We start from the raw sequence: 14,404 nt of genomic DNA on the forward strand, positions 1-14,404 counted from the left end.
TCAGGCTCCTCCTCGGGTGGGATAGGCTTTGTGTGAGATACAAAGGAAAAAGAAATCTACTAGTAAAGCACTTTCTATCTGGCAGAGAAGTTAACTGCAAGGTAAAAAGTCACACAATATAGCTGTTTACCCATCCCGAGTTCCCTCAGGGCTCGATCTCAATGAATGGTTTTATTTTTAACCAGAAGATCTAAACTGATCTTCTGTGTTGGGCTAACTAGCTAACGTTCCTATCCATAGGAGATGGTGCTTTAATGCCCAAAGGCCAACTTTATTCTTTCATTTCTGAATCCTACAAATTATTTACATCCCCTTAGAAGCTGCCTTCTCAGTGAACTTGGAGCAAGTTATTTAAATCTTTTTGTGCTTCAGTTTTCTGAACTGTAAAAAGACAGAGTGCTCACATCAGAAGAGTTGTAAGGATGAAAAGAAATCATTTAAAGTATTTAACAGAGCTCCTAGCCCATAATAAGTGCTCAATGAACGTTAACAATTAATTTTACTTTAAACTCACTCTGGTTAGAGTCACTGCCTGTTTTGCACATATGAAAAAAGTTTTCCAATGGCTAAGGCAAGGAAGATCTAGGGGTTTTTGTGTGTGTGGTTTTGTTTGTTTGTTTGTTTCTTTTTGTGACAGAGTCTCTTTCTGTCACCCAGGCTGGAATGCAGGGGTGCATTCCCGGCTCACTGCAATCTTGACCTTCCAGCTTCAGGTGATTCTCCCAGCTCTGCCTCCTGAATAGCTGGGACCACAGGCACACACCACCCTGCCCAGTTAATTTTTTCATTTTTTGTGGAGAGGGGCTTTCACCATGTTGCCTAGGCTCGTCTTGAACTCCTAGGCTCAAGCGATCCAACCGCCTCGGCCTCCCAAAATGTTGGGATTACAGGTGTGAGCCACCTCACCTGGTCTATTTTTATTTTTTATATAAGTAATACATTGGAAACTACCAAACACCACAAAGAAATCTGTAACTGTCTTAATTCTACTATTGACATAAACTTATGTTTTAAGTTAAAAACTATTTTCTTTTTAAACTTAACATTATTTTGAACATCTTTCCATGTCAGTAAACATGGTTCTATTACATTCTTAATATCTGCATATTTTTTATTAGAGTTGTACCATAATTTATTTAACCAATCCACCATTGTAAATTATTTATGTTGTTTCCAACTTTTTGCTATTTTAAACAATGTTCTTACATAAATTTTATGCATTCATTTTTTGTGAACTTCTCCAAAATTGTCCTTAGGATAAATTCATGGGAGTAAAATTTCTGGGTCTAGCAGTATGTTCCAAGGGACTTATTACATACTGTACTGCCAATTTGTCTTTCAGAAGGACTGTACAAACTGGCACTCCCACCAGCAGGGCAAATTCCATTTTCTCACTTCCTCCCCACCACCAGCCACTATTTAAAATATTTGCCAAGTTGGTGGGTCATAAACATAATTTTATTTTTTAATTTTAATACATTCAGCAAACATTTTAATTTTTTCTTCTCTAAAATCCTTTACAATGCCATCAAAAACTTGGTAAAGTGTGTTCTTGAGAGCACAGACCCTGGAGACTGACTACTCGAGTCTGAATTCAGTCTCTGCCTCTGAATTTAATGATTTCAAGCCAGTTACATATCCTCTCTGTGCCTCAGTGTCTTCATCTAGAATGAGAACAATATTAGTGATTGCCGTATAGAGTTAGATGCATGCATGTAAGCACTTAAGGCAATGGACTACTCTTATTGTTTGTCCATTTTTCAGTTGGCATGTTGGACTTCTCTGGGTGGGTATGGTGAGAAGGCAAATTGAGGGACATCCAGAAGAAGTAATGACATAAACAAAGGCACAAAGAGACATTAAGTGTCATGTTAACTCCTACATTTAAATCTTCCCAATATTTTCATGTGTTTTGAAGAACAAAGAACAAGAATGGTTTCATGCATTGTTTTCCACTTCATGAAACCCAATTTAAACCATACGAAACAAGCCTTGACATGTTGTCAACATGAACTTTTCTTGGTCTATGCATGACACTGTCCCTCCAGGTCCAGCAGTTCCCAGTTGTGCTGTCTTTCACCTATAATGACCCATGTTGAGCAGGCAAGGGAAAGCATAATTATATTTGCTCACAGAATTATATGCAAGCTTCTGTATTTCCAAATGCAAATTAGACAAGAATATCTCTCCTCCCCATTATGCAGTACAACAGAGAATTATTCGAACCCAACTTTGTGCTCCAATCATGTCCTTGTGTTTGGATGACACTAGCAATGCACACAGCCCTAGAAGTTTCATGGTGAGTCAGAAGGAACCTCAGAGCTCATCTAGTTTAACCTCCTCATTCATAGAGAAAATTCTGGATGACTACATTCAAAACAGATCCAAGAATGAGGAAACATTGACCACAGGGGCTTTCTAACTTTGGGAACATGGGAGCCTTCTATACAACTTATTGCAGAATTTTTAAACCTAACCCTTGTGTTGGTGGGATCAGCTAAAGATGAAGGAGCCACAATTACTCTACCCTATTCTGTCCATATATCCTGAGTCCTTTATGAAAGTGGAATTCCACATTTGAGAACCATTTGTCTGATGAGGATCAGCCTCCTCCTCCTCCTCCAACTAGTGTCCTAACCCTTTCTTCTTACGGCTTTGTCTTAGGTAAGCCAACTACCTCTACTTAGCATCTCTGGGTCTCAGTTTCCTCATGTGTAATGAGGGTGCTATTCTTTTTTTTATTTTTTATTATTTATTTATTTTTTTATTTTTTTTGAGACGGAGTCTCGCTCTGTCGCACAGGCTGGGGTGCAGTGGCGCGATCTCGGCTCACTGCAAGTTCCGCCTCCCTGGTTCATGCCATTCTCCTGCCTCAGCCTCCCGAGTAGCTGGGACTACAGGCGCCCGCCACCGCGCCCGACTAATTTTTTGTATTTTTTAGTAGAGACGGGGTTTCATCATGTTAGCCAGAATGGTCTCGATCTCCTGACCTCGTGATCCGCCCGCCTCGGCCTCCCAAAGTGCTGGGATTACAGGCGTGAGCCACCGCGCCCGGCCGAGGGTGCTGTTCTAAAAGATGCCTTCCAGAACAAATATTTCGGGGTTCCATTTGCAGGCTTACATATTGATTCCAAGAATATACTTTTCTGAGACAAAGTACTTTATGACTACAGAAAATCGCCACCCCCATAATTACCATTGTTGAAAACTAGCCAAAGGTCTCAGCCCAAGTTCTGCGGCAGGCCCAGGATACAACTCAGATCTCCTCATTCCCAGACCTTGAAAAGTTAGGCACACCCTAAAGGGGTACTGTTTCAAAAAACCAAAACATGGACACTAACTTAGGCAACGGGAGATTTTAAAATTCAGCTTGACTAACTTTACGAATGCAACTTTTCAATACTTCCATGTAAAAATATTAAAGTGACCTGTAGTATCTTCCTGCTTTGTCTGCAGTGCACTGATCTCTCTATAGGGTGCCACTGTCCTTAGTGGCTAGGCCAGTGATTCTCACCCTTGGTTGCACAGAATTCCCTGGTGGATGGGGTGGAGGGGGAAGGTGAAATATTCCCATGATCTGTGTACCACCCCCCAGAGATCCTGATTGATTTGACCTGGGGTTGGGACCGCAGTGTCAATTTTTAAACTCTCCAGAAAAGCTAATTTTCAGCCAAAGTTGAGTACCACTAGTCCAGATAAATTGCTTCCAAAGCAGAGCGCATAATTCATCAGCATGCTGAAAAATATTGTAGAATGTCTTTATATATTTTTATCTCATTCTTTTAAATTTTTTATGATTTACATCTTTGAGCATATTAATATATATTGATACATTTGTAACAGATTGGTGCAAGAGTAAATATATAATTTATAAATAAATACATATTTATCTGGTGTGCATTCTAAAACAAAGGTTTTCTGATAGAAGTATATTCTCCAAAAGTTTGAATCTGAATGATTCACTGGGTAAGTAGCCATTTCTACTAAATAGGCATTCCTTTAATTATGGCATTTGTGGTCTGCTGTTAGCTAACTTCTGTATTGATATTTGCCTTTCATTTGTGCAATATGTCTTGTCTCCCAAAGTAGATTGTAAATGCCTTTAAGGCAAAGACTCTGTTTCCTGCTTTATACCCTCTCTCATATTTCTTGTCAATATGTTAAACCCATCAGGGTCTGCCCACTTTCTAGCTGTTGAACTATGGGCAAGCCTTAATCTCAATCAAAAAATATTAATAATAGTACCAACTTCATAGCATTATTATGAAGATTAAATTTGAGACAGTTTAAACACAGTTCCTAAAATATATTATGTACTCAAAGAATGAAAGCTTTTTTATCACTGGTTGAATTGAATTCTTACAATCCATACATACAGAATGTCAGGTATGATCCTAAGAAATACGGAAAACATATATAAGACATGACTCCTCTGTAAGGAATTCAGTCTAACAACAGCAAACAGATATTTGAACATATAGTCATAATACCACATAATATAATAAATGGTCTGATTGGCATATATGTAAAATGCTATGAGAATACAGCTAAAGGGGGCAATTAATTCTTCCCAGTGCCTTGAAGGATGAATAGGAGTTTTCCCGTAGATAAGGAAGAGCATATGCTTGGAAGAACAGCATAAACAAATGCATAGAGCACTAGTTCTCAAAGTATGGTCTGGGGATCCGTGGGAATGTTTGAGACAATTTCAGGTGGCCCACAGGGTCGAAACAATGATTATAATAATATTAAGACATTATTTGCTTTTCTCGCTTTCATTTTTTGAGAAAGGTACAGTGGAGTTTTCCAGAAACTATATGACTTGCGATATGAAACACACTGAATGCAGAAGCAGCTATGAGAATCTAGCTATCTTCCATTAAAGAGACTTCTAAAAATGTAAAACAATGCCTGTCTTCTCACTATGTTTCATTGTTTTGGAAAATATAGTTATTTTTTATTAAAAAGTGTTTTATCAGAATGGATTTATTATTTTAAAATCAGTTATAAATATTTTTAAATATTTCTACTATAATGTATAATATTTTACATATACAAAATCTGACTTTCTAATATTAAATGTATATATATCCACCACAAACAAAAGCTCTTTGCAGTCCTCAATAATTTTTAAGTGAAAAGGGGACCTGTGACCACTGGTGTAAAGGCATAAAATTGCATGACATGTTCAAGGAATAAATGAATAAGTGTAGTTAGCTACCTCCAGTTCTTTTTGGAAGTAGACAGAGTATAAATTATAAATATATACATCACACATTCATACACAATGAATGTGATTATCATATCCTCTCAGCCTATGAATAACAGATAAAATATACCAGAATGCTGAGAGGGTTAATCTGAATGTATGCGTGATTTTGAGAAAGGACGAGGGAGCAGATTTAGTTAATCCAGTGAAAGTCATCGCATACAAATTTGCAAACTAAAATACTCCCTGGGCTGAGGTCATGTGTTTAATTTTAGCAAGTAGGGTGAATACGTTTGGGTAGGTATTTATACTAAGCAGTGGACTGAGCTGGAGATGGGTTTGACAGTGGAAACAGTGATACAACCTTTATTATTTTCAATGCAAAAAAAATGAACTATTAATGTGATGTTCTGGTTGAAAATTTAAACTCTCAAAAAATCTGGAAATTCAAAGTCATGGTACCCATAGCAACCATAACTCTGCCCCCTTGCATGCCCAGTGTGGAGTATTTTGTATTGCAGTACATGCTGTGAAATCTATGCCTAAATGTGCTATATAGCAGAGTTACAGTTGCTGTGGGAACTGTAACTTTGAATTGCCTGCCTTTTGTGTCATTAAACTTTCAGCTGAAGTATTGCATTAAAGGAGGTTTTTTTTCCTCTACTGCGTTTCCTCATTTAAAAAAAAATTGATTGGGCACCTTTTTTAAAAAAGGATGTAAATGATGTTAGATTCAAATAGCAGGATAATGCATTCTAGCTTCCCAGATACATGCACTGATATAGCATTAGTGAATTACCACATTTACATATTTCAACCTGCAATAACAAGTCATAAAATAATCCTCTATTTATATAGCACCTTTAATCCTGAAGGGTCCCATCACACACACAGACACACAGTAACCGAACCACTCTGGACAAGAAAACTCAATAAATATTTAACAGCGCCCAACAAAATCATACAGTGCTTTAGGACAAGCAGTAAGGAAGAAAGGCACTGTCATGCAGTGGTCAGAATACAAACCAAGGAGTGAGAATTCTCATGCTCCACTCTTACTTTTATGATGGCATGGGCTCTCCCCGTGACCTTGTCAATGATTTGACTGCCTCACAAAAACTCTGAGTATTCCTTTTTTTTTTCTATCTGTTTACCAAGGAAGTATTTCTAGGACCAAAGGCAAGAAAAGACTTCAAAAGGTCATTTGGTTGAGTTGACTACTCCCAACCAAGGGATGTATCTCCATATTCTAGAACAGGAGTCAGCAAATTTCTACTACAAAGGGCAAGACAGTTAAATATTTTAGGCTTTGAGGGCCATACGGTCTCTGTCACAACTACTCAATTCTGCTGTTTTAGCGCGAAAGCAGCCATAGACAATACATAAATGAAAAAGCATGGCTGTGTTCCAATAACATTTATTTACGGACACTGAAATTTGAATTGCATATAATTTTTATATGTCACAAAATATTATTCTTCTACTGATTTTTCTGAGCCATTTAAAAATGTAAAACATGTTCTTGGCCTGGGTGCTATAGAAAAGCAGGTGGTAGGCTGTAGTTTGCTGGCCCCTGCTCTAGAAGTCTGAATTGTATATCATGTTCAAAGATACCTATACAATGTGGTGTGCTTTCAAATCTTTAACAATTAGTTCCTCACCCCCAAAAAGGTATGTATGTTTTATTTAAATATATACAAAGATCTAGATCTAGATATATAGATCTATATATGTATATATGTAGGTCAAGTTATGCACATATATGTGTGCAATTTTATTATATATTTTGCAGATATACAGGAAGTATAGCAGAAATGTGCAAATAATAATTATACACACTCTTCATTGTGAATTCCAGATAGCTAATTTATTCTCATAGAATGCTTCTGTTCCTGTTTGCTGAACTCTGCTATCCATACCTAATCTATGGTTGCAATTAATAAATAAGTGTAGCTCTAACTTTAATGTTGATTGATATTTTCACTTATATTAAGGAGTACAATAAAAGAGAAAAAACAGAGATGTATCCCAGAACTTCCCTCTTTCATCAATGACATGAACACCTTCTTTGCTGGTATCAAATAATAGTTTTCAAAATATTTCCTCAATTGTGCTTTCACAATATGATTGGCTACAGGCTTGACACACTTTTAAGTTAAACCTAAGTCAGAGTTCTCCAGAAAAACAGAATAAGGTGTGTGTGTGTGTGTGTGTGTGTGTGTGTGTTGTGTGGAGTATGTGTAGAGAAAGAGAGAGAAAGACAGGGACAGATTAATTTATTATGAAGAATTGGCTCACATGATTGATTATGGAGGCTAAGAAGTCCCAAGATCTGTAATCACCAAGCTGGAGACCCAGGAGAGCTGATGTGTACTTCCAATCTGAGTCCAAAGGTCTGAAAACCAGGAAAACAGATGTTTCAGTTCAAATCTGAAGGCCGGAAAAGACCAATATCCCAGGTCAAGCAGACAGTCGAGAGGAGTTCCCTCTTACTCAGCCTTTTTGTTCTAGTCAGGCCTTCAACTGATTGGATGATGCCCACCCACGAGGGGGTTTACTTTGCATATCATTTGTCTGCATTACTCAGTCTAGTGATTCAAACGTTAATCTCATCCAAAAACACTCCCCCAGATATACCTAGAAAAATGTTTGACCAAATATGTGGGCACCCCATGGCCCACTCAAGTTCACACATAAAATTAATCATCACAATCTGCAGTATTAACATTGTCTTCATCACTTTCTCAAGTCCAATCAACAAAACAATGAATCAAGCTCTGATTTGTAATGTTTGCTGAATTCCACGGTATAAATACCCCACCATGGCCTATTTCAAGCTACCAATGGGATGTCAATGGATGTGAATTGGGAAGAGATGGGGAGTAGCACACCCTTATATAGTAGAGTTGGCCCTCCATATCCACAAGTTCTGCATCTGAGGATTCAACCAACTGCAGATTTAAAATATTCAGAAAGGCCAGGCATGGTGCCTCACGCCTATAACCCCAGCAATTTGGGAGGCCGAGGCAGGTGGATCACTTGAGGTCGGGAGTTTGAGACCAGCCTGACTGACATGTTGGAACCCTGCCTCTACCAAAAAAATACAAAAATTAGCCAGGTGTGGTGGCGCACGCCTGTAGTCCCAACTACTCGGGATGCTGAGGTGGGAGAACCGCTGCAACCCAGGAGGCGGAGGTTGCAATGACCAGAGATTTCACCACTACCCTCCAGCCTGAGCAACACAATGAGACTGTCTCAAAAAAATACAAATAAATAAATAAATATAAAAATAAGTGAAAAATATAAATAAGTGAAATAAGTGAAAAATAAAAATAAGTGAAAAATAAAACAATATAACAACTGTTTACATAGCATTTACATCATATTAGTTATTACAATATGATGATTTAAAGTATAAGGGGGATGTGAGTAGGTGATATTCAAATACTATGCCATCTTATATAAGGGACTTGAGCATCCACAGATTTTGGTATCTGCCAGGAGTCCTGGAACCAGTCCTCTGAGGATACTGTATTGCGGCCACAAAAATACAAAAGACATAAATAACCTCCAGAGTATAGATAACAGTTAAATATAGTAAAACAATTAGAGTGTTGAGGGTATATTACCATTGTTTTCTAATATAATTTATTTGAGAGCTTATATAATTTAATGTTCAATAGTGGATGTGTTTGACATCTGACTTGCAAAATTTCTGAAAATGTAATCATCAGCTCTAGGGAGTCTGCGGGAACTAGTGCCAGCACATCTCTAGAAGGGCGTTGTTTAAGCCCTGAGGGAAATTCATCTGGTCCCCTACTATCTTTGTTGAAAGCCCACCCAATTTTATTTTGGCCAAAGCTTATTGGAAATGAAAACAGAACCAACCTCACTGTTTTTCTTGGTATTATTTTTCTTCTGAAGTACACAGATCTCCTTATACCCTTAGTGAATTACCACGTTTACATATTTCAACCTGCAATAACAAGTCATAAAATTATCAGTCTGTGACATGGCAAAATGTAGGTGGAGGCGGTCAAGGGACTTGCCGGCACTTCCATGGGTCTGAATGACTCCCCAGCAAGGGCAGCTGCCTCTATACAGATGACCAGCCTGGATAATTCTGCCACAATAACTGAGAAATTCCGACAAAGCCAGAATTAGGGTTTGAGTCCTGCAGATAATTATAGTCATGGACATGGAGACACAGCAAATCAGAGAAGAATGATCCCCTTGACTTTCAGTCTAGTGATTTACCTACCGTACCCACTCTGCTTCTAGGTAATGAGTTACTTAATGCTTGTCAAGTAATTATAAGTTGTAAATCACCAAATACAAGGCATCATTAATGTCCGTTTGAAACTGCACAGAGAAATTTTAGTAGGCAATATATGAGTGCCCCATTGGAGCCAAGACTCCATGTCTGTACATTTTTTCTTGTCTCCTTTAAAAAAAAATCAGGTATGGCAAGATGTTTTCATAACCTCAGATGGTTGGGACCTCTGTTTTGAGTATGACCTATGATAGGTGTTCCCAGGAATTTCTTTAATACCATGCTGGGGGGAAATTTGATCAAATTATTTATTAATATGTGGATCACAAATGAGTCTGAAAGCCTGAGTCACCACTACCCTTTCCTCCAGCACCCTGCCATTTGAGATGGAATGCCGTGGCATTCTGAATAGAGGGGCAAGATTACAATTTAGCCAAACGTCATATATGTACCCCGCAGTGCAGGCAATTAAAAAAAAAAAAAGCTTAGTTATTTCTATACTAAGTAACCCATAAATGTCAAGGGCACTTGAAGGCAATGAAATTGTTAAAATTAAGGGGTGTTAGGGTGTATTTGTGATTGGGGTGAGGGAATGGGACTTGGCTTTAATTTACAAACAAATTAGAAAAAATAAACAGACTCAGCATTGCTATTGTAACTGGAAAGGCTTGAGCAAATTTAATCCAACTTCCTGCATAATATTTGATTAATCTCAGACTCGGGAGGAAAATCAAGATGAGATAGGAAGTCTCCATCTGTATCGAGGGCAGGGGAACTTGGGGCTTCCAGTGCCCACAAAGGGCATCACATGACCCTTCCCAGGGGATCACTTGCTCCGAGTTCCCTGTGTCTCTCTTGGCTCCGGCTCCAAGTTCATGAGAAATCTGTCCCCATACCCATCCTTCTGAAGCTTCCAGCCTTTACCACCTGGACCTGGGCTGGAGTCCCACCCCCACCACAGCTCTTGAGACAGGCGACGAATAGACCCAAATTTGAGATGTAGCTCAACCTTTGACCACTAGAGGTCTCCTGGAAAGCAATGACCCGTATAACCCGGTTGATCCTCCTTCAAACCAATAGACTTGTTGCACTAAGGCTTGGCGAGCCTGCTCTGCTCAAGGCCTCCTTATTAATAACGCCACCCGCCCCCGCCGCTCACGATGGCGCCAGGCATAGAGGGGGATGGGACCAGGCGGTGGCTGACCCTCAGACAGTGCTGGTTCTTTACGAATCAGTCTGCAGACTCCAGGGCTACCCCTTCGAACCCCACTTACTGACCAAGCAAGAGCAGGAGAGCGTGCCTAACTCGAGGTCCCCAGGTGGGCAGCGTGGAGCCCCACAGACTTCCAACCAGCGATGGACTGGGCAAGGGACCCACGTTCAGAATCACCTAGCATCAGGTCCGCCAACAGGCCAGAATCCACTCGCCCCTCGCTTCGTCCCCCTAATTCCTCGTCCCCATTACCCCCCTTCACCGCCTCCGTTTTGCCTCCGGATCGCAAAAGTGACCCGAGCTTTAACCAGTGGAGAGAGATCAGGGAACAATTCACTGTCCCTATTCTCATCCATGTGGTATTTTCTGGGAAAATTAGTGGCTTCTAGCTGGAAGAGGAAAGAAAAGGGGTGGGGGGGTGGATGGCTGAGGGGGAGCAAGAAAGGAAACAGCCAGGTTGAATTCCCAGTCTTTATCAAGCAATTCGCTCACCAATGAGAGAAAGCTGCAGTGGCAGATTCGAGCCACATGCGGTAGTGTGTAGCAATTAGTAGATAAAATGCTGACTAAAGTGCTAAAACATGAAGTATTATTGTAGCCAAGGTCAAAAATGCTTCAGTTGTCTTTTGCAATTTGGGGGAGGGGAGGCCCAGGGGTACGCAGAGAGGTTTGCATTTTCGAAATGGTCGCCTTCTTTCTTCAAACTGTACTTTTCCTTTTTTTTCTTTTTTTATGATCCTGTTTATTATAGTCCAAGCTGCCTAATTATGTCACTGCTGGTTTTTGCAACTAACTTAATCCTCCTGATCCTTTATGAAGCGATTCACAGACACTGAATAATGTCTACTGCTCTCCCATCCCCTTGAGGGGCAAGAATGATTTTTAATTTTTTACCGTGTAAATACACGAGATTAACTTAGAGAGTTGGATTTTTGGCTAGTAAAGCAGCAAGAATATAGGTGTGTGGGTACCGGATTCTGTGTTTCAGTACAAGAAAGAGCCCAGAAGTAGTGGGTCATATAAACATATACTACTCTCCCTCCCACCTTTTATACACAGCAAGTTCCAGCTACAAGCTTTTTTATAGATAAATAAAGCAGTTGCTTTCATGATTATAACTGTCCTGAATGGATTGTCTTCTTACAACATTCAATCTGTTTATGAGTATTTACTTTACATTAGCCCAGGGACCCTGCACTGCAGGAGTTTGCCTCTATTCCCCTGGGTGTCGGTGTCTCAAGTCTTACATCTGCTCTGTGATTGATGGAGCCTTGAATCCACGTTATTACTCTCTCACAAGCAGAAATCAAACAGGCTATTAACTACATTACTTCAAAGAACTGTTTCAATACAATCTCCTTATCTTAATTGAAACTTTCTTTGTATGGATATTTGCTACACAGATAATTTACAGGTGCCTATCAAACATCACATTAAAGAAGAGGTAAAATTGAGGGATTTTTGGGGGGGAGGGGTAAACACTATTGTGATCTGTAATTTTAAAAGGCATTCACAGTATTGGTTTGATTTATTAGATTTATTATGTTCACGGGGGGTGGGGGCAGTGCTGTAAAAAGAGGGGGAAAGATACCCCTGTGATTCGGTTTTGAAATTTAGCATTCATCTGATTACAAGGCTGCGGATATTCAAAAATATTCAGACCCAGATCCCTGCAATTGTTAACATCTCAGAAACCTTATCGGAGAGATAAGGCAGCATGCATCCTAGTTCAGTGCCTACCTTGAAGAGCTGAAGAAACAGGGTTTCTAATTAGATGAAGTTCGTTACACACTTAAAGACTTACAGCACCAAAGACAGTAGAAGTAGCTTAGATGCTGTAAAGAGCTGTATAATTTTTTAAGAAAGAGATTTAATATACAATTGAGGGATACCCTCAGGCATTCTGTTGAGGTTTCCTGCATAAATGCTGCTGCATTGGTCATACAGGAAACTGACTCAGAGTCGATCTCAAATACGATCTTGTCAAAATACTGCAACTCAAGTTTTTTTAATATAGGATTTCTTGAACTGGATGTATATATTTACGCTAACACGACAGAGACTAACAGAAGCTTTAGGCATATCTATTTTTAAAAAAGACATGTAAAATGCCCCTCAGTCAAGTCCATTCATATGTTAAAAATGAACAAAATGGGCGATTCTAATCAAACGTCTGCAGTATGCATTATAAAGTTAAAAAGAGAGAGAGAAAGCGCAGGAGAGCTATAATTTCTCTTTGTAACCCATGTTTATAAAATAGAAAGATCAGATGAAATTTCAAGAGATAATTAAAGAGTGATGTGCAAGTCATAATTTGGCTAATGTTAAAGATGGGAGACTGCGAATTGTAGTCCTCCATGGTGCAGAGTTGTGATATTACTTTAAATTATTAAAATAGTTTTCGACAGCTTTCAGAATACCGGCTCTTTGGCATGGGCTTTTATTATTTATTGTAATTAGAGGATCTGCCATTTTCTTTCGTTTATCTCTGTGTGTATAGAAACGAGATAGATTTTGCCTTTTATTACTTCCCCATATTCTGAATCAAAAATGTGGTTTAGATAATGTTAAGTGCCCTAATTCTTACTGCAGCGGACGCAGACGTTATGAAAAGGCATAAAAATACACACAGAGGGTCTTTCCACCTCAAGTCACTGAATATGAGGCATTTGTGCTCTGCCGGGTGTATTAACTTCAGCCATGTGAATATAATTTTCATTAAAGTAATCCTGTTTCAACTAGATGCTGTGACTAGAGGTGAAACGTTGCGAAAGCGTTAAAAATAGCTTACTAGTAATTTCAACATCCTGTAATTTTATCACAGATCAAGTTTCAACTGTCATACTATACAGACCTTATTCCCCATATAGTACATGTTTACTTTTTTAGCATGCCAGACCCACTTTGGAAAGATTGGTGCCAATATAATAAAAGCTGGAGGGGGGGTGTGCTGGAAGGAGTGGGAGGAGAGCGGGGAAGGGGGTGGGGGAACGTGGGGGAAGCGAGTACACCATTTTAAATCAACACTGCGAAAATGCAATCTAGCCTGGCGGAGGACCGGCAGCTGGGTCGGAGCTTGCGAGGGCTTTGCAGTCTCTGCCTGTTCCTTGTTCTGTCGCTCTTAAGTTTCTCTGTGTTTGCATAATAGCCGTGCATGCAAACCTCGCAATGCTCCAGGGCTCCAGAACAATAAATATACACATTTAAAGCCTTTATTGTCTTACGGTTCATGCCCCCGGTTTTCAACAGCTTAATTTCTGGTTGTATTTAACTAGTTTGCAAATGGATTTTTTCAGTTTCAAACTATTATTGAGGAAGCTCCCCTCCCTTTTTTGGCGGGGGAGGGGATGGGGGTGGGGTAGGAGTCGGTATATTATTCCTGTAGCGCTGGGTTATATAAACACATTATCATTTGAGAGCGCCCTTGGCGTCCATCAGCATTGTAAACACGTACTAGTGTATATACTTCAAAATTAAAGAATGCACACGCAGAACCGGGAGCCTGAATTCATATTCTGAGCAGACTCGCTTCTCGCATTTATTGATTTATCATGCATCGTTTATTGTTCCAGTCCCTAAATGCAGTCGCTGTCCGTTCAATATTGTTTGCGAAATCCTAAGATGTGTGTGCACTGCTCACTTGTCTCTTTTTTTTTTGCTGAGTATTTTTTTGCGAAGCGAACAAATGCATTAATATTTATATGTTTAT

At 39.4% G+C, this 14,404-nt stretch overlaps 2 annotated features.

Annotated features, from left to right (window-relative positions):
- Nucleotides 10,214-10,383: an enhancer, noted in NCBI's record as "active region_3398". NCBI's record gives its function as "activates an Ori minimal core promoter by ATAC-STARR-seq in GM12878 lymphoblastoid cells {active_cell/tissue: GM12878}" and the evidence as "EXISTENCE:reporter gene assay evidence [ECO:0000049][PMID:35858748]".
- Nucleotides 13,597-13,766: a silencer, noted in NCBI's record as "silent region_2393". NCBI's record gives its function as "represses an Ori minimal core promoter by ATAC-STARR-seq in GM12878 lymphoblastoid cells {active_cell/tissue: GM12878}" and the evidence as "EXISTENCE:reporter gene assay evidence [ECO:0000049][PMID:35858748]".

This window comes from Homo sapiens, chromosome 10 (genome assembly GCF_000001405.40).
Source record: "Homo sapiens chromosome 10, GRCh38.p14 Primary Assembly".
In the NCBI taxonomy this organism is placed as follows: Eukaryota; Metazoa; Chordata; class Mammalia; order Primates; family Hominidae; genus Homo; species Homo sapiens.